General features: G+C 45.8%; 1 protein-coding gene across 7 annotated transcripts in view, besides 2 other annotated features; it reads right to left on the minus strand.

Moving 5' to 3' along the window:
• RHOA (ras homolog family member A) overlaps positions 1–19793 on the minus strand; it is a 52832-nt gene that overhangs the window by 9067 nt on the left and 23972 nt on the right. For 3 of the 7 annotated variants that reach the window (NM_001664.4, NM_001313943.2, NM_001313941.2), the window contains 2 exons: positions 7223–7380; positions 217–337 (listed from right to left, as the gene is read on the minus strand). In NM_001664.4, coding sequence (NP_001655.1) covers positions 217–337; positions 7223–7378 — 277 coding nt within the window. In that variant the 5' untranslated portion in view covers positions 7379–7380. The remainder of the gene's footprint in view (positions 1–216; positions 338–7222; positions 7381–19793) is intronic. The other 4 variants (NM_001313946.2, NM_001313947.2, NM_001313945.2 and 1 more) reach the window with 3 other exon arrangements.
• Positions 18202–18756: an enhancer, noted in NCBI's record as "H3K27ac-H3K4me1 hESC enhancer chr3:49423846-49424400 (GRCh37/hg19 assembly coordinates)". NCBI's record gives its function as "activates a minimal SCP1, AML or CMV promoter by ChIP-STARR-seq in primed H9 embryonic stem cells {active_cell/tissue: H9 hESC(primed)}" and the evidence as "EXISTENCE:reporter gene assay evidence [ECO:0000049][PMID:30033119]".
• Positions 18757–19310: an enhancer, noted in NCBI's record as "H3K27ac-H3K4me1 hESC enhancer chr3:49424401-49424954 (GRCh37/hg19 assembly coordinates)". NCBI's record gives its function as "activates a minimal SCP1, AML or CMV promoter by ChIP-STARR-seq in primed H9 embryonic stem cells {active_cell/tissue: H9 hESC(primed)}" and the evidence as "EXISTENCE:reporter gene assay evidence [ECO:0000049][PMID:30033119]".

The raw sequence follows: 19793 nt of genomic DNA on the forward strand, positions 1-19793 counted from the left end.
CTAGGTGGATACATTTTAAATACAGTACCCATGGGAGACCTAGGCTGAAAGGGACCCAAGGCCCACGCTCTACAATCCCAAACTCCAGGACTCCGGCCACTGACGATGATTGCTTCTCTGAAGTTCATGTCTGCTTTTCAGCCACTTGATGCCCAGAAACCAGATGCCAACTAGCTACACAGGCAGTGACAAATATCAGGGTGCAGGGCCACTCACCTAAACTATCAGGGCTGTCGATGGAAAAACACATCAGTATAACATCGGTATCTGGGTAGGAGAGGGGCCTCAGGCGATCATAATCTTCCTGCCCAGCTGTGTCCCACAAAGCCAACTCTACCTGTAATGGGAAAAACAACCACAAGAGTGCAAGGTTAATCCCCCCACCCACTTTTAGAAAAAGTGACACTTACCATAGTACATTGAAATGGCAGACCATTGAAATGGCAGACGGTCTAAAACAGTAAAACACAGGAGTATTTACATTTTTTCTTTTTTCTTTTTTTTTTTTTTTTTTGAGATGTAGTCTTGCTCTGTCGCCCAGGCTAGAGTGCAGTGGCGCGATCTCTGCTCCCTGCAAGCTCCGTCTCCCGGGTTCACACCATTCTCCTGCCTTGGCCTCCCAAGTAGCTGGGACTACAGGTGCCCGCCATCACACCCGGCTAATTTTTTGTATTTTTAGTAGAGACGGGGTTTCACTGTGTTAGCCAGGATGGTCTGGATCTCCTGACCTCATGATCCGTCCGCCTCGGCCTCCCAAAGTGTTGGGATTGCAGGCGTGACCCACCGCGCCTGGCCTTTTTTTTTTTTTTTTTTTTTTTTTTTTTTTTTGTTGAGACGGAGTCTTACTCTGTTGCTCAGACTGGAGTTCAGTGGCAAGATCTTGGCTCACTGCAAGCTCTGCCCCCGGGTTCATGCCATTCTCCTGCCTCAGCCTCCTGAGCAGCTGGGACTACAGGCGCCCGCCACCACGCTTGGCTAATTTTTCGTACTTTTAGTAGAGACGGGGTTTCACCATGTTAGCCAGGATGGTCTTGATCTCCTGACCTCGTGATCCGCCTGCCTCGGCCTCCCAAAGTGCTGGGATTACAGGCATGAGCCACCACACCCGGCCGAGTATTCACTTTTATGAGCATCAAGCTCAAATGAGAGTATATTTAAATTATTTTAGGTTGAAATTTCTCAAAATTGAAAATCTGAGAACCCACCTCTACAAAAACACCTTAAAAATTAGCTGAGTGTGGCCAGGCGCGGTGGCTCATGCCTGTAATCCTAGCACTTTGGGAGGCTGAGGCGGGCTGACTGCCTGAGCTCAGGAGTTCGAGACCAGCCTGGGCAACATGGTGAAACCCCGTCCCTACTAAAATACGAAAGAAATTAGCCAGGCACGGCAGCGTGCGCCTGTAGTCCCAGCTACTGGAGAGGCTAAGGCAGGTGAATTGCTTGAACTCGAGAGGCAAAGGTTGCAGTGAGCCAAGATCGTGCCACTGCACTCCAGCACTCCAGCATGGGCGACAAAGCGAGCCTCCATCTCTAAAAAAAAAAAAAATAAATAAAATAAAACTTAGCTGAGTGTGGGCTGGGTGCGGTGGCTCACGCCTGTAATCCCAGCACTTTGGGAGGCCAAGGCGGGCGGATCACCTGAAGTCGGAAGTTCGAGACTAGCCTGACAAATGTGGAGAAACCCCATCTCTACTGAAAATACAAAATTAGCTGGGCGTGGTGAAGCATGCCTGTAATCCCAGCTACTCAGGAGGCTGAGGCAGGAGAATCGCTTGAACCCAGGAGGCGGAGGTTGCAATGAGTGGAGGTTGCAATGAGCTGAGATTGCACCACTGCACTCCAGCCTGGCCAACAAGAGCGAAACTCCATTTAAAAAAAAAAAAAAATTAGCTGACTGTGGTGGTGCACGCCTGTAGTCCCAGCTACTTGGGAGACTGAGGTGGGAGGACTGCTTGAGCCCGGGAGGCGGAGGTTGCAGTAAGCAGAGATTGTGCCACTGCACTGCAGCCTAGGCAGTGAGACCTTGACTCAATTAGGAAAAAAACAAAAAAACAAAACAGATACTAGAACTGAACCAAGTGGCATAATTCAAAATGTCAAGTCAAAAATAACTCTGTAGCTTATAAAAGTGTTTAATTATAAATAACATTCTACTAGGAAAGAAAGCAGACAGGAGGGAAGAAATCAAATTTTAAATAACATCCTACCAGGCATACAGGCGAGAGAGGAAGATACAAGACTAAGTAAATTTTCTGCTATAATGTGGAAACCATGGAAACAAATCTGTATTTTGAGTTGGTAGGTAGGAAAAGACACCATGCTGGCTGTTAGGCAAGGCCTGAGATGACAGGAAAGCCCTTTTGGCTGTGCCTTTACTACTCAAGAAATGTCTGAAATAATGCATCACGTAAGGTGAGAGAGTACTCCTTTCACATCCGGGTACATCCTCACCCTCCTGTGGTAGAAGGGTAAACTGATGCCTGGGCTCTGAATACAAGTCCCATTCAACACTGCCCAGCACTGCACCCAGCTCTGCTACCCCATTCTTATCACCAGACTCCATGTTAAACATCCTCTGTACAGAGGCCCTTTGAGGCCCAAGAGGTCTCCCTCCAATACTTGGAACACATCTTTCTTCTCTTAGCACCTTCACAGCCCAAATTTCAGTTTCTAAATGATTTCTTCCTTAAAATTGATGGCTCTTCCACCCCCGAACTTTTGCCCCAGGATGCATCACAAATAACCTCCACAAGGCCCACTGTACTTCTGTCATGCAAACCATCATTCTGGCATGTGTAACTAAGATATACTGATGCCCAATTATCACAATCTGTCTGCCCTCACAATAATGGAGCTCATTTACTCCCTGGCAAATCCCACTCTCCCGGCCCCCTCCACCCCACGGTGTTTAGTCATATATCCAGCCTCTATTGGCGCTTGATAAAATGCTTCCAAGATGTTGAGTCTGTCTCATATCAAAAGGGGCCTTTTCATTGTGAGCAGGCCTACTCTTGGTACCATGATCACCTACAATCTTGTATGGTTCCCTAGGCTGTACTATTGCCTACTGTTTTTTTTTTTTTTTGAGACAGAGTTTCGCCCTTGTCGCCCAGGCTTGAGTGCAGTGGCGCAGTCTCAGTTCACTGCAACCTCTGCCTCCCAGGTTCAAGTGATTCTCCTGCCTCAGCCTCCCAAGTAGCTGGGATTACAAGTGCCTGCCACCACGCCCAGCTAATTTTTTGTATTTTTAGTAGAGATTGGGTTTTGCCATGTTGGGCAGGCTGGTCTCAAACTCCTGACCTCTGGTGATCCTCCTGCCTCAGCCTCCCAAAGTGCTGGATTACAGGTGTGAGCTACGACGTCTGGCCTTATACTATTGCATACTGTTAAATGAATATTCCTACACAGTACCCTCTCCCATCTTGGGGACTCTTGAGTTGCTCTGAGGCAGGCAGGTAGCCTGTAATATGCTCTTCAATCAAACACTTTTATTCCAGGGGACTCTCCTCAAGTGAGAACCTCCCCCTATCTTGCGAGGGTCAGTGATGTCCAAGGTTTGCAGCACAAGAAAAATACTCACAGACCATGCCTCAAGGTTTTAAGTCAAGGTCTCTAAATTTCTTATGGGCAAGATTCTGGTTGTTCCAAGATGCCCAGGCAGAAATAATGTTTCCAAGAGAACCAAAGAGCTGCTTCCAAAACATACATACTGCCACAGATGGAAAAGACCCTTCCAGTTCATGCTTACAGACATGCAGCAATTAACAGCCACTCTCTGGAGAAAATGTTAGGATACAACCAGTAATATACATTCACTACTAGGCTTTTGAGAAATAAGCTATGAAAATGCCAACCTGACATTGCTTCCCCAAGCCAATGGATCTTTCTATGTATGGTGCATCAATCTAAGTTAGGTAAGAGGGCTATAACTTGACACCAATCCTGAAGATGTCATCACATTTCTACCTAGTTTGTCACAACTGGGCCCTGTGTCCATATAAAACCAGTTTTCCTATCAGGACCACAAAAACACCTATGTCCAAGCATCCATGCTTGGCTGAGGCTGAATTAACACCCTCTGTATTGGTTTGCCACCTTCAGGGTACATCCCAAAATTCTGTTAGGCTGGTATTTGTTGTATTTTTTCCATCTATACTTGGGCCAGAAAGTATCTTAGAGTTCCTATTAGCATAAGAGCAATCATCGTGGCTCACTCTGTATTTGAATAAAAAAGAGCACAAACTATAGGACGGGCGCAGTGGCTCACGCCTGTAATCCCAGCACTTTGGGAGGCAGGCAGATCACGAGGTCAGGAGATCCAGACCATCCTGGCTAACACGGTGAAACCCTGTCTCTACTAAAAATACAAAAAACTAGCCAGGCGTGGTGGCGGGCGCCTGTAGTCCCGGCTACTCCGGAGGATGAGGCAGGAGAATGGCGTGAACCCAGGAGGCAGAGGTTGCAGTTAGCAGAGATCACGCCACTGCACTCCAGCCTGGGCGACAGAGCGAGACTCTGTCTCAAAAAAAAAAAAAAAAAAAAGGACTACAAACTATGAAAGAGGGTTTTGAACATGGCAGTATTCATCTCTTAGAAAGCGCTTTGGTGCTGCCAAACATTTTCCGTTACTTCACAGAACCTTGATGTCACCTATAAAAACCGTTTTACAAATGAGGAAGGCTCAAAGGTCAGGAGCTTACTGATGGTCAAACAACTATCAGGAAGCCCTACAATGAGGGACCCTGGAGTTCTGAGCAGCTGATCTAACCCACATTCCTCACACAGTGCCACAAAAGGAGGCTAGGTGGCCCTAGGACAGAAAGAAATAAGTAATGTGGACAAGTAGAAGTGGCCAGGCACGGTGGCTCATGCATGTAATCCCAGCACTTTGGGAGGCCAAGGCGGGCGGATCACCTGACGTCAAAAGTTCGAGACCAGCCTGGCCAACATGGCGAAACCTCGTCTCTACTAAAAATACAAAGATTAGCTGGGCTTGGTGGCAGGCACCTGTAATCCCAGCTCCTCGGGAGGCTGAGATAGGAGAATTGCTTGAACTCAGGAGGCGGAGGTTGTTGTAAACCAAGATCATGCCATTGCACTCCAACCTGGGTGATAGAGGGAGACTCTGTCTCTAGACAAACAAACAAAAACAAAGTAAGAAAGGAGAAAGGGGATGAATGGAAGCTAATATATCAAGTGTTAGCAGCATATGAGACATATAACTGAATGCTCAAGAAAAATGAGAATGTTGGAGAAGAGCACCTCATTCTAGTTTTAGGGGTTTTTTCCTTTCAGCTGACCCACTTCAAAAGATGTATAGGAGAGCTGGGCACGCTGGCTTGCGCCTGTAAGCCCAGCCACTTGGGGCTGAGATGGAAGAACTTGAGCCCAGTTGTTTGAAACCAGCTGGACCAACACAAGACCTCATCTCTAAAAACATAAATTACCCAGGTGTGGTGGCACATACCTACAGTGCCAGCTATTTGGGAGGCTGAGGTGGAAGGATCACTTGAGCCCAAGAGTTCAAGGCTGCATGATCATGTCACAGCACTGCAGGCCTGGGAGACAAAGTACAATCCCTGTCTCTTTATTTAAGAGAAAAAAAAAAAAGTATGAGAGGCCAAGCAAAGCATTACTTAGACAACAAAAGGAAGCAGAAGATTAAAAAAAAAAACAAAAACAAACCAAAACCAAAATTAAAACCCAAAAAAACCCTCCAATTTCACAAGAGCTTTGTTCCAGTCTTGCCAGAGGGCTTTTAGGACAGAAATGGGGAAGCACTGTTCTCACCATCAATGACAATAAAATAAAACAACTGTGGCAGGCTATTTTATGTTAAAGTAAAAAAAAATCTTTTGGCCGGGCACAGTGGCTCATGCCTGTAATCCCAGCACTTTGGGAGGCCGAGACGGGCAGATCACAAGATCAGGAGATCGAGACCATCCTGGCTAACACGGTGAAACCCCGTCTCTACTAAAAATACAAAAAATTAGCCAGTCTGGTGGTGGACACCTGTAGTCCCAGCTACTTGGGAGGATGAGGCAGGAGAACAGCGTGAACCCAGGAGGCAGAGCTTGAACTAGTAATCTAATACTGGGACATCTGATTAAATACTTTGACAGAATTTTTGTCAAAGTCCAAGCATACAAAGAAGTTCATCTGAGCATTATCTATATGGCAATGAACTAAACTTCAAATATACGTAAACTTGAAAAGAGCACATATGGCTGGGCAAGGTGGCTCACGCCTGTAATCCCAGCACTTTGGGAGGCTGAGGCAGGTGGATCATCTGAGGTCAGGAGCTTGAGACCAGCCTGGCCAACATGGCAAAATTGCATCTTTACAAAATACAAGTATTAGCCAGGCATGGCGGCGTGCGCCTGTAATCCCAGCTACTCTACTCTGGAGGCTGAGGCAAAAGAATTGCTTGAACCCGGGAGGTGGAGGTTGCAGCGAGCTGAGATTGTACCACTGCACTCCAGCCTGGGCGACAGAGCGAGACTCTGTCTCAAACAACAAAACAAAACAAAAAAAAAACACATATGCTAAGGACACCATGTCAAATACATATGAATGTAAACAAAGTCTGGATGAGTAGCAGTTAAAAATGAAAAAACAGCCAATCACCTGCGGTCAGGAGTTCATGACCAGCCTGGCCAACGTAGTGAAACCCCATTTCTACTAAAAATACAAAAATCAGCCAGGTGTGGTGGCATATTCCCGTAATCCCAGCTACTGGGGAGGCTGAGGCAGGAGAATCCTTTAAACCTGGGGGAAGGCTGGGCACAGTGGCTCACTCCTGTAATCCCAGCACTTTGGGAGGCTGAGGTGGGTGGATCACCCGAGGTCAGAAGTTTGAGACCAGCCTGGTGAAACCCCATCTCTACTAAACGAAAAATGAGCTCAGCATGGTGGCAACATGCCTGTAATCCCTGCTATTTGGGAGGCTGAGGCAGGAGAATCACTTGAACCTGGGAGGCAGAGGTTGCAGTGAGCCAAGACCGAGCCACTGCACTCTAGCCTGGGCAACAGAATGAGACTCCGTCTCCAAAAAAAAAAAAAGAACAAACTTGGACTAAGATGGCAGGATGAGAATGGATTCTTCTTTCCAACATTTTTGTTATATGGTATACTGAAGAGGCAAAAAGCTCTAATTCTCTACATGCTCCATAAATATTCTAACATGGAAAATGGCATCAGTTGTTATGAAAAGTATACTCACCTGCTTTCCATCCACCTCGATATCTGCCACATAGTTCTCAAACACTGTGGGCACATACACCTCTGGGAACTGGTCCTTGCTGAAGACTATGAGCAAGCATGTCTTTCCACAGGCTCCATCACCAACAATCACCAGTTTCTTCCGGATGGCAGCCATTGCTGAAACACAAAACACAGATATTACCTGCAATGCACAAGAAGTCATAGGTAGCTTACAGGATGACACATGCTTTGGTAACCATGGGGCATAAACCTCTATTAGCATACTCAAATTCAAACTTCTAGTACGCCGATCCACCTGGCACCAAAAGGTTATACATTAAAAACTCGTAACTAACATTATACTTAATGGTAAAAGACTGAAAAAAAGGTCTGCCCCCTAAGATCAGGAACAAGACAAGAATGTCTGTTCTTGCCACTTCTTTTTTTTTTTGAGACGGAGTCTCACTCTGTCGCCCAGGCTGGAGTGCACTGGCCCAATCTCAGTTCACTGCAACCTCCAGCCTCCCGGGTTCAAGCAATTCTCCTGCCTCAGACTCCCAAGTAGCTGGGATTACAGGCACGTACCACCACATCCAGCTAATTTTTGATAGAGATGGGGTTTCACCTTGTTGGCCAGGCTGGTCTTGAACTCCTGACCTCAGGTGATCCACCTGCCTCAGCCTCCCAAAGTGCTGGGATTACAGGCGTGAGCCACCACGCCTGGCCTGTTCTTGCTACTTCTATCCAGCAGGATACTGGAGGTCCTAGCCAGGGCAATAAGGTAAGAAAATGAAATAAAAGACATCCAAATTGGAAAGGAAGAAGTAAAACTATCTCAATTCACACATGAGATGATTTTGTAATGTGGGAAATCCTAAAGAAAACTTTTAGAATAAACAAGTTCAGTAAGGTTGCAGGATACAATATTAACATTAAAAAATCAATTGAGCCAGGCGCAGTGGCTCACGCCTATAATCCCAGCACTTTGGGAGGCCGAGGCGGGTGGATCACGAGGTCAGGAGATCGAGACCATCCTGGCTAACACGGAGAAACCCCATCTCTACTAAAAATACAAATAACTAGCCGGGCATGGTGGCAGGCACCTGTAGTCCCAGCTACTTGGGAGGCTGAGGCAGGAGAATGGCGTGAACCCAGGAGACAGAGCTTGCAGTGAGCCAAGATCGGGCCACTGCACACCAGCCTGGGGGACAGAGTAAGACTCCATCTCACAAAAAAAAAAAAAAAAAAAAAGGAAACAATTTGTCAAGCAGGGTAAAAACAATGAAAGGACTGATGAAAGGGAGTACCCAAGGGAGGAAAGAACCAAAAAAGTCATCGGCAGGTTGTTTGGGTAGACATTCTGCAATCTTTCTAAGTTTGGATATTCCTTCTTTTACCAATCTAGATTTGTTTGTAAAGAAACAGCATTCTTGGCTGGGCGCGGTGGCTCACGCCTATAATCCCAGCATTTTGGGAGGCCGAGGCAGGCAGATCACCTGAGGTCAGGAGTTTGAGACCAGCCTGGCCAACATGGAGAAACCCCATCTCTACCAAAAATACAAAATTAGCCAGGCGTGGTGGCACATGCCTATAATCCTAGCTACACAGGAGCAAGAGGCAGGAGAATCGCTTGAACCCGGGAGGCAGAGGTTGTGGTGAGCCGAGATCATGCCATTGCACTCCAGCCTGGGCAACAAGAGCGAAACTCCGTCTCAAAAAAGAAAAATCAATTGAGGCCGAGCACAGTGGTTCATGTCTGTAATCCCAACACTTTGGGAGACTGAAGCAGGAGGAATGCTCAGGCCCAGGAGTTAAGAGACCAGCCCTGACAACATAGTGAGACACTGAGAAAGGAAGGACGGACGGAAGCATGAGAGGGGAGGGGAGAAAGAAAAGGGCCGGGCGCAGTGGCTCACGCCTATAATCCCAGCAATCTGGGAGGCCGAAACAGGTGGACTGCTTGAGAGTCCAGGAGTTCAAGACGAGCCTGGGAAACATAGTGAAACCCTGTCTCTACTAAAAATACAAAAAATTAGCCAGGAGCGGTGGTGCATGCTAATCACAGTTACTTGGGAGGCTCAGGTGGGATAATCCCCTGAGCCCTGGAGGTGGAAGCTGCAGTGAGCTGAGATTGCATCACTACACTCCAGCCTGGGGAACCCCAGTGAGACACTGTCTCTAAAAAAAGAAGGAAAAGAAAAAAAAAAAAATCAGCCAGTTGTGGTAGCATGCACCTGTAGTCCCAGCTACCAAGGAGGCTGAGGTGGGAGGATTGCTTGAGCCCAGGAGGTGGAGGATGTGGTGAGCTATGATTGCATCACTGCACTCCAGCCTGGGTGACAGAGTGGAACCTTGTCTCAAACTCTTATGACTCAACTACAAAAAAGCAGCTTAGGTTGGTGGTCTGGCTCAGGATCTCTTGCAAGGTTGAAATCATAAAGAACTCTTTTTGGGCTGGGCACGGTAGCTCACACCTGTAATCCCAGCACTTTGGGAGGCTGAGGCAAGCAGAACACTTGAGGTCAGGAGTTCGAGACCAGCCTGACCAACCCAGCAAAACCCCGTTTCTACAAAAAATTCAAAACTTAGCCGGGTGTGGTGGTGGGCACCTGTAATCCCAGTTACTCGGGAGACTGAGGCAGGAGAATCGCTTGAACCCAGGAGGCAGAAGTTGCAGTGAGCCCAGATTGTACCACTGCACTCCAGCCTGGGCAACAGAGCACTCCAGCCTGGGCAACAGAGTGAAACTGTGTCTTAAAAAAAAAAAAAAAAAAAAAGAGAGAACTCCTTCTGACATGAAGTACGCTATTTATCTATCCATCTATCTTTTTTTTTTTTTTTTTTTTTTTTGAGATGAGGTCTCACTCTGTCACCCAGGCTGGAATGCAGTGGCGTGATCTTGGCTCAATGCAATCTCCACCTCCGAGGCTCAAGTGATCCTCCCACTTCAAATTCCCCAGCAGCTGGGACCACAGGCATGCGCCACCACGCCCAGCTAATTTTTGTATTTTTGGCAGAGACAGGGTTTTGCCATGTTTCCCAGGCTGGTCTCCAACTCCTGAGCTCAAGTGATCTACTCGCCTCGGCCTCCCACAGTGCTGAGGGATTACAGGCGTGAGCCACTGCCCATCTATCTACGCATCTATCCAATCTATGTACCTATCTAACCTATCTATGTGTTTCTCTATTATGTAGTTATTTTCAGAAAGGGTCTCATTCTGTCACCAAGGCTGGAATGCAGTGGTGCAATATTGGCTCACTGCAGCCTCTGCCTCCCAGGCTCAACTCAAGCGATCCTCCCACCTCAACCTCTCCAGTAGCTGGGACTACCAGGCTCCTGCCACCACAGCTGACTAATTTTTATACAGATAGCGTTTCACTATATTACCCAGGCTGGTCTCAAACTCCTGGGCTCATGCAATCCTCCCGATTCAGCCTCCCAAAGTGCTGGGATTACAAGCATAAGCCACCTCCCCAGGCCTAAATACAGTATATAGAAAAAATTAAAAAATAAAGAACTCTTACAATTCAATAATAAAAAGACAAATAATCTAATCCAATTAAAAAATGAGCAAAGGATGTGAGTAGGTATGACCCTGCAATTCTATTCCTAGGTATATATCTAAGAGAAACAAAAACATATGTCCACATAACAACTTGTACCTCTACATGAATATTCATAGCAGGATTATTCATAATATATTGTCAAAAAATGTAAAGAACCCAAATATCCAACAACTGATGAATATAATATATCCATACAATGGAATGGAATATTATTCAGCGATAAAGGATAAAGTACTGATATATGCTATAGTATGGATAGATCTTGGAAATGTTATATAAGTGAAAGAACCCAGTCACAAAAACCAACATGCATGATTCCATTTATATAAAATTGTCCAGAATAAACAAATTCAGAAAGAGAAAATAGACTGGTAGTTGCCTAGGGCAGGGACTTGGGGGTGGAGAGAAATGGAAAATGACTAATGGAATACTGGAGTTTCTCAGGTAAAAAGATTTTTCCAAAATTATTGTGGTGATGGCTGCACAACTCTATGAATATACTATAAACTATTGATTATAGTATATATAATTCACACATTTTATTTATTTTGAGACAGGGTCTCACTCTGTTGCCCAGGCTGGAGTATAGTGGTGCGATCTCCACTCACTGCAACCTTAGCCTCCCCAGGCTCAAGTGAACCTCCAATCTCAGTCTCCCAAGTAGCTGGAACTAAAGGTGCATGCCACCACACCCGGCTAATTTTTTGTATTTTTAGTAGTGACCGGGTTTCACCACGTTGCCCCAGCTGCTCTCAAACTCCTGAGGTCAAGCGATCCTCCTGCCTGTCTCTCCCAGTGTGTTGGGATTACAGGCGTGAGCCACCGCACCCAGCCCACAGTATATATAATTCACACTTTAAAAAGGTGAATTGTAAGATATGTGGATTATATTTCAATAAAGCTGTTACCACCACTCTCGCCCCCAGTGGGGGGAAAAAAGAGAGAAATCTGCAGATTCCTTCCATCTGGCAGACAGTGATGGTCAACCATCCCAATTCCCGCCCTTCCCTCCTAGACCATACTTCGATTTTTAGCTATGTACTTTGTTGTAGACTACACTTCCTAGCTTCCCTTGGAGACATGGCCATGTACCATGAGATGTGAGAATCAGCAGTATGTTGTGGGACTTCCAGAAAGTCTTTCTTAAAGGGAAGTCTTTATTATCCTCCTCCTTTCCTGCTGCTTAAATCTAAAGTAAGGGCTGGTTTCTAAGCAGCCATCCTGGTATGTGAGAATGAATGCCATACCGTGGGGCTGGAAGAACCAAAAGGTAAAAAGGAGCCTGGATCTCAGGTGATCTTGGGAGCCACCATCTCAGCCCCAAGACTGCCTACCTTCCATGTTTCTTCCATATGAATGAGAAATAAATGACTGTCTTATTTAAGGTGGTATTTTTCAAGTCTCTGTTACCTATAGTCAAACTAATCCTAAATTATATACACTCAGCTGGGCATGGTGATTCACGCCTGTAATCCCAGCACACTGGGAGGCCGAGGCGGGCAGATCACGAGGTCAGGAGTTTGAGACCAGCCTGGCCAACATATGAAACCCCATCTCTATTAAAAATATTAAAATTACCCAGGCGTGGTGGGGTGAGGCAAGAGAATCGCTTGAACCTGGGAGGTGGAGGTTGCAGTGAGCCAAGATCATGCCACTGCACTCCAGCCTGGGTGACAGAGACTCTTGTCTCAAAAATAATAATAATAATAATAATAATAATAATAATAATAATAATAATAAATACTCATTATCAAAACTATATTGTCTAAAGGGTATGTTCCCCAACCAGAATGGATAAGACAATCCACAGGGGTACCAGAAGAAAACTCAGAGGGCAAACAACGACAAAAATAAACAATGAAAACAAAACAAAAAAACTCAGAGGGCTGACAGTGCTGCCATTACTCATTTGTGAATTCTCAGGACAATATTACATACAGCAGTGAATACGTGTGTGTGTATATATATAGATACAGATATTATAGAATTTTATCCAAATCTACAAAATCTAGTAACTTTTTTTTTTTTTGCAAAAAGGGAGTAAATTGAAGATACTACTAATCATGAAAGCACAATAAGAAGCATATCGATGATAGGGAAATGTGCTCAATGCATATCTTCAAACAAGAGCATGCAGTCAAGGCTAGGAGTAATGGCTCATGCCTGTAATGCCAGCACTTTGGGAGGCTGAGGTAGGCGGATCACTTGAGGTCCAGAGTTCAAGACCAGCCTGGCCAACATTGTGAAACCCCGTCTCTACAAAAAATATAAAAATAAGTTGGACGTAGTGGCATGTACCCATAATCCCGGCTACTCGAGAGGCTGAGGCAGGAGAATCTCCTGAACTCAGGAGGCAGAGGCTGCAGTAAGCCGATATCTCGCCATTGCATTCCAGCCTGGGAAACAAGAGAAAAACCCCGTCTCAAAAAAAAAAAAAAAGTTAGCTGGGTTGGTGGCAGGCACCTGTAACCCCTGAAAGGCTACTCAGGATGCTGAGGCATGAGAATCACTTGAATTAGGCAGGCGGAGGTTGCAGTGAGCTGAGAACGCGCCACTGCACTCCAGCCTGGGCAACACAGTGAGACTCTGTCAAAAAAAAAAAAGGATTGGCATGGTGGCTCACGCCTGTAATCCCAGCACTTTGGGAGGCCGAGGCCTGTGGATCACGATGTCAGGAGTTCGAGACCAGCCTGACCAACATGGTGAAACCCCATCTCTACTAAAAATAGAAAAATTAGCCGGGCATGGTGGTCCGCACCTGTAATCTCAGCTACTCAGGAGGCTGAGGCAGGAGAATCACTTGAACCCGGGAGGAGGAAGTTGCAGTGAGCTGAGATCGTGCCACTGCACTCCAGTTTAGGCAACAAGAGCGAAAATTCGTCTCAAAAAAAAAAAAGACAGAGAGTGAAGTTCCCCAGTTAGAGTCAAGTGTGGCAACTCATGCCTGTAATCCCATCTACTCAGGAGGCTGAGGTGGGAAGACAGCTAGAGTCCAGAGTTTGAGACCAGCTTGGGCAAAATAGCAAGACCCTATCTCATAAAAATAAAAAAATATTGGCCGGGCATGGTGGCTCACACCTGTAATCCCAGCACTTTGGGAGGCTGAGGTGGGCAGATCACGAGGTAAGGAGATCGAGACCATCCTGGCTAACATAGTGAAATCCCGTCTCTACTAAAAATACAAAAAATTAGCCAGGCGTCGTGAAGGGCGCCTGTAGTTCCAGCTACTCAGGAGGCTGAGGCATGAGAATGGGGTGAACCCAGGAGGTGGAGCTTGCAGTGAGCTAAGATCGTGCCACTGCACTCCAGCCTGGGTGACAGAGAGAGACTCCGTCTCAAAAATAAATAAATAAATAAAATAAAAAAATAGACACTGGGCGTGGTGGCTCACACCTGTAATCCCAGCACTTTGGGAAGCCAAGGCAGGCAAATTGCTTGAGCCTAAGAGTTGGAGACCATCCTAAACAACACAGTGAAACCCCATCTCTACCCAAAATACAAAAAATTAGCTGGCTGTGGTGGTGCGCATCTGTGGTCACAGCTACTCAGGAGGCTAAGATGGGAGGATCACTTGAGTACAGGAGGCAGAGGTTGCAGTGAGCTGAAATCATGCCACTACACTCCAGCCTGAGTGACACAGTAAGACCCTGTCTCACCAAATAAAGATTTAATAAACTTTACATCTCTCATAAGGCCTAATCTGCATGGGCTTTTGCCCAAAGTCAAACAACCAGGACCCTATGGGATGCAAAGAAACGTCAACAGGAATTCCCCAGTTCAAGAAAAGGCTGCTTTGGCCGAGTGTGCTGGGGTTCATGCCTGCAATCCCAGTACTTTGAGAGGTGGGTGGATCACCTGAGGTCAGGAGTTCGAGACAAGCCTGACCAACATGGTGTAACCCCATATCCACTAAAAATACAAAAATTAGGTGGGCGTGGTGGTGGGCACCTGTAATCCCAACTACTGAGATGCTGAGGCAGGAGAATCACTTGAACACAGGAGGCAAAGGTTGCAGTGAGCCGAGTTAGCGCCATTGCACTCCAGCCTGGGCGACAAGAGCAAAACTCCATCGTATCAGAAAAAAAAAAAGAAAAAGAAAAAGAAAAGGCTGCCACCTTTGCGTAGCACCCTACCTAGAAGACATTCAATTCTTGAGAAATAATCTCTTTCGGCCAGGTGTGGTGGCTCACGCCTGTAATTCCAGCACTTTGGGAGGCCGAGGCGGGCAGATCACGAGGTCAGGAGATCGAGACCATCCCGGCTAACATTTCTACTAAAAATACAAAAAATTAGCCGGGCATGGTGGCAGGCGCCTGTAGTCCCAGCTACTCGGGAGGCTGAGGCAGGAGAATGGCGTGAACCCGGAAGGTGGAGCTTGCAGTGAGCTGAGATCACACCACTGCACTCCAGCCTGGTCTATAGAGCGAGAATCCATCTCAAAAAAAAAAAAAAAGAGCTATCTTTGCTTTGTTTATAGTTCAACATGCCCACAATATTTGTTCCAGTATTGACTTAAATCTTCTGTTATGGTTTGAAAAGTTTCCTTATAGATGGGGAATAAATCATTGCCTGTCCTTGGGCCCTCTCCAGCCCCACCTTCCCCTCTGCACTTTCAGCCTGCACTCCATTCCTTCCGGGTGCTCTGGTGTGTCTGAGATTACTGCATGTGTCTTCTATTCTGTTTGTGCCTTCCCTTCCTAGAATGTCCAGACTCTGTCTCCACCTTTGCTTATAGGGAGGGAATTCACGTTTAAAGACCCTAGTCCAGCCAGGCACGGTGGCTCACGCCCATAATCCCAGCACTTTGGGAGGCTGAGGTAGGCGGATCACTTGAGGTCAGGAGTTCGAGACCAGCCTGGCAAACATGGCAAAACCCCGTCTCTACTGAAAATACAAAAATTAGCCGGGCATGGTGGCATCTGCCTGTAATCCCAGCTACTTGGAAGGCTGAGGCACGAGAATCACTTGAACCTGGGAGGTGGAGGTTGCAGTGAGCCGAGATTGCACTACTGCATTACAGCCTGGGCGGCAGAGTGAGACTGTGTCTCAGAAAAAAGAAAGAAAAGAAAAAGAAAAATATCTGATAAAGAACATTTGGCCCAGAAAAAGAATAAAATCATTTAGCCACTAATGGTGACAAAGACAAAAATTACAAGTGATTATCGGACAAAATGAAAGCCTAAGTGATTTCTGGGATACTGGGAGTGCGGCAATACACAGAAGTTGAGAAGTAAAAAGTACAAGCACAGAAAATCAAACTTGCTGTTTTCTCCTTGAAAAACGCAGGAGAAATTTTGCAGAATTATCTCTCCTTTCCACTTTGCTATAATGCAGCATTCTTTACAAGTACATGGTTTGTCAAGAAAGGAAATCACGCTTAGCTCTCCCAGACGTGTCATTTTCCAGGCTAGGTTTAGTCTCAGAAATAACTTATAAGTTTGGAGTAGAGGTTTATTTAACCAAAAGTCAGTTATATCTAATTAAGTCACCAGTAACAATACACAAATAACAGTATTTCTTTTACAACTTTTAATTTTTTTTTTTTGAGACAGGGTCTCACTGTCATCCAGGCTGGAGTGAGGTGGTGTTATCATGGCTTACCACAACCTTGACCTCCCAGGCTCAGGTAATCCTCCCACTTCAGTCTCCCAAGTAGCTAGGAGTACAGGCACACACACCACGCCCAGCTAATTTTTGTGTTTTTTTTGTAAAGATGGAGTTTCACCATGTTGCCCAGGATGGTCTTAAACTCCTGGGCTCAAGTGATGCCCCCACTTTCTAAAAATTTAATTATCTTGGCTGGGTGCAGTGGCTCACGCCTGTAATCCAAGTACTTTGGGAGGCTCAGATGGGCAGATCACTTGAGGTCAGGAGTTCGAAACCAGCAGCCTGGCCAACATGGTGAAACCATTCTCTACTATGAACACAAAAATTAGCCTAGCGTGGTGGCAGGCACCTGTAATCCCAGCTACTCGGGAGGCTGAGGCAGGAGAATTGTTTGAACCTGGGAGGCGGAGGTTGCAGTGAGCTGAGATGGCACCACTGCACTCCAGTCTGGGTGACAGCAAGACTGTCTCGGGGGAAAAACAAATTTAATTATCTTTTATGTAGAGACAGGGTCTTGCTGTGTTGCCCTGGCTAGTCTCAAACTCCTAGCCTCAAGTGATTCTCCCGTGTTGGCTCCCTAAGTGTTGGGACTACAGGGGTGAGCCACTGCGCCTGGTCCATTGCCCCCCTACCTTTTTTTTTTTTTTTCTGAGACAGAGTCTTACTCTGTCGCCCAGGCTGGAGTGCAGTGGCGCGATCTTGGCTCACTGCAACCTCCGCCTCCCAGGTTCAAGCAATTCTCCTGCCTCAGCCTCCCAAATAGCTGGGAGGCGTCTGCCACCACGCCTGGCTAATTTTTTTATTTTTAGTAGAGACGGGGTTTTACCATGTTGACCAGGCTGGTCTCAAACTCCTGACCTCAGGTGATCCACTTGCCTCGGCCTCCCAAAGTGCTAGGATTACAGCAATGAGCCACCGCACCCAGCCCCCATTGCCCATTTTTAAACTCAGTTGTTTTTTTTATTTTTTTGATGATGCCCTTTGGGGCACAACGTTTTTTATTTTGTTGAAGTCAAATTTATCTATTTTTCCCTTTGGTTACTGATGGTTTGGTGGCATATCTAAAATACCACAGCCAAATTCAAGGTCGTAAAAAAAATATATATGCTTCTTTCTATAGTTTTAAGTCTTACACTTTAGGCCTTTGATTCATTTTGAGTTAATTTTCATACATGATATGAGGTAAGGGGTCCAACTTCATTCTTTTTCATTTGGAAATCTAGTCACCTCAGCATTATTTACTGAAAAGACTATTTTCCCCCCAACTGGATGGTCCTGGCACACTTGAGAAATCAACTAATTAGCAACTGAGGGTTTACTTTGGATTAATCCTATTCCATTGGTCTATATTGTCCACCTTTATACTAGTACCACAGTCTTGATTACTGTTGCTTTGCAGTAAGTTTTAAAATCTGGAGGTGTGAGTCCTCCAGCTTTGTTTTTTTCCAAGATTATTTTGGTTATTCTGGGTCCCCTGAATTTTGGTATGTATTTTAGTAACAGTTTGTCAATTTCTGCAAAAAAGCCAGCTGGAATTTTGATAGGAATTACACTGAATCTACAGATCGATTTGGGGAGTACTGTCATCTTTACAATGTTAAGTCTTCTGACATATGAACATGGACGCCTTTCCATTTATTTAGGTCATCTTTCATTTTTTTACTTCCTCTTTCCTCCCTTCCGTTTTCTCCTTATACTTAGAACCACAGGCATCAAACTAAATGTAGGGAAGCCTTGTCTCCCACCACTACTTTGTAGAAGAGGAAAAATATAAGAAACAGCTAACAAATAATGCAGTTATAAACTTTAAACAAACAATCCTCGCAACAGTCCTCCTGTAAGTTCTAATACTCTCATTTACAAATGAAGAAACTGAGTATGGAAAGGCTAATTTGTTCAACGTCAGTCGCACTGCTAGCCAGTAAGAGGCAGAATTGGACACTGAAGTAAATTAAGCAATCCGTTTCAGAGTACACATTTCTAAACATTCCACTGTCTTACCCTCCTTCCTTCCCCGTGTCAAGAGAAGTGATTCTACAGCTTTAGCGTATTATTCTCCTTTGCCTACTCAGGCAAACCTTGGTGACACTGAAAGACTCGATTAATTAATATGCAACTTAGGGCGATTAACTAGTTTGAATATTTTTCCTTAACTTCACAAACTCAGTCTCTGATGTATTTGATTAACTCTGTCTATGTCTATATTCAGTATGACCGTATGGGCTTTTTAAAACTGTTACATGACCGGGCGTGGCAGCTCACGCCTGTAATCCCAGCACTTTGGGAGGCCGAGGCAAATGGATCACCTGACGTCAGGAAATCGAGACCAGTCTGGCCAACATGGCAAAATCCCGTCTCTACTAAAAATACAAAAAAAAATTAGCCAGGCATGGTGGCGGGTGCCTGTAATCCCAGCTACTCAGGAGGCTGAGGCAGGAGAACCGCTTGAACCTGGGAGGCGGAGGTTGCAGTGAGCCGAGATCACGCCATTCCACTCCAGCCTGGGCAACAAGAGAGAAACTCCGTCTCAAAAAAAAAAAAAAAAAAAAAAAAAAAAAAAAAAAAAAAAAAACAGGCCGGGCGTGGTGGCTCACACCTGTAATCCCAGCACTTTGGGAGGCCGAGGCGGGCGGATCATGAGGTCAGGAAATTGAGACCATCCTGGCTAATATGGTGAAACCCCATCTCTACTAAAAATACAAAAAATTAGCCAGGCATGGTGGCACGCACCTGTAGTCCCAGCTACTTGGGAGGCTGAGGCAGGAAAATTGCTTGAACCTGAGAAGCAGAGGTTGCAATGAGCCGAGATCGTGCCATTGCACTCCAGCCTAGGTGACAGAGCGAGACTCCATCTCGGGGGAAAAAAAAAAAAAGGGTCGGGCGCGGTGGCTCATGCCTGTAATCCCAGCACTTTGGGAGGCCCAAGGTGGGCAGATCACGAGGTCAGCATAGAGACCATCCTGGCTAACACGGTGAAACCCCGTCTCTACTAAAAATACAAAAAAAATTAGCCAGGCGTGGTGGCGGGCACCTGTAGTTCCAGCTACTCAGGAGGCTGAGGTAGGAGAATGGTGTGAACCCGGGAGCAGAGGTTGCAGTGAGATCACACCACTGCACCCCAGCCCGGGGGACAGAGCGAGACTCCAGGTCTCAAAAAAAAAAAACAAAAAAAAAAACCCTATTATGTTTGTTTTCTATGCTTTTATGATGTTTTTGCATACATTTCTTTTAGATGTGTGTATCTTTTTTCTGTACACACCAGAGGAAGAAATAATAACAATGTCACATATGTTTGAGTCACTCTGAAATCATCAACTCTTGGTTCTTTGGTTCTAGCATGTCTTACACCTGTTTACTCTTACTGTTTTAATGTCTGTTTACTCATTACAGATGATGTCAAGGAAGGGGATGGCTTT

This window comes from Homo sapiens, chromosome 3 (genome assembly GCF_000001405.40).
Source record: "Homo sapiens chromosome 3, GRCh38.p14 Primary Assembly".
In the NCBI taxonomy this organism is placed as follows: domain Eukaryota; kingdom Metazoa; phylum Chordata; class Mammalia; order Primates; family Hominidae; genus Homo; species Homo sapiens.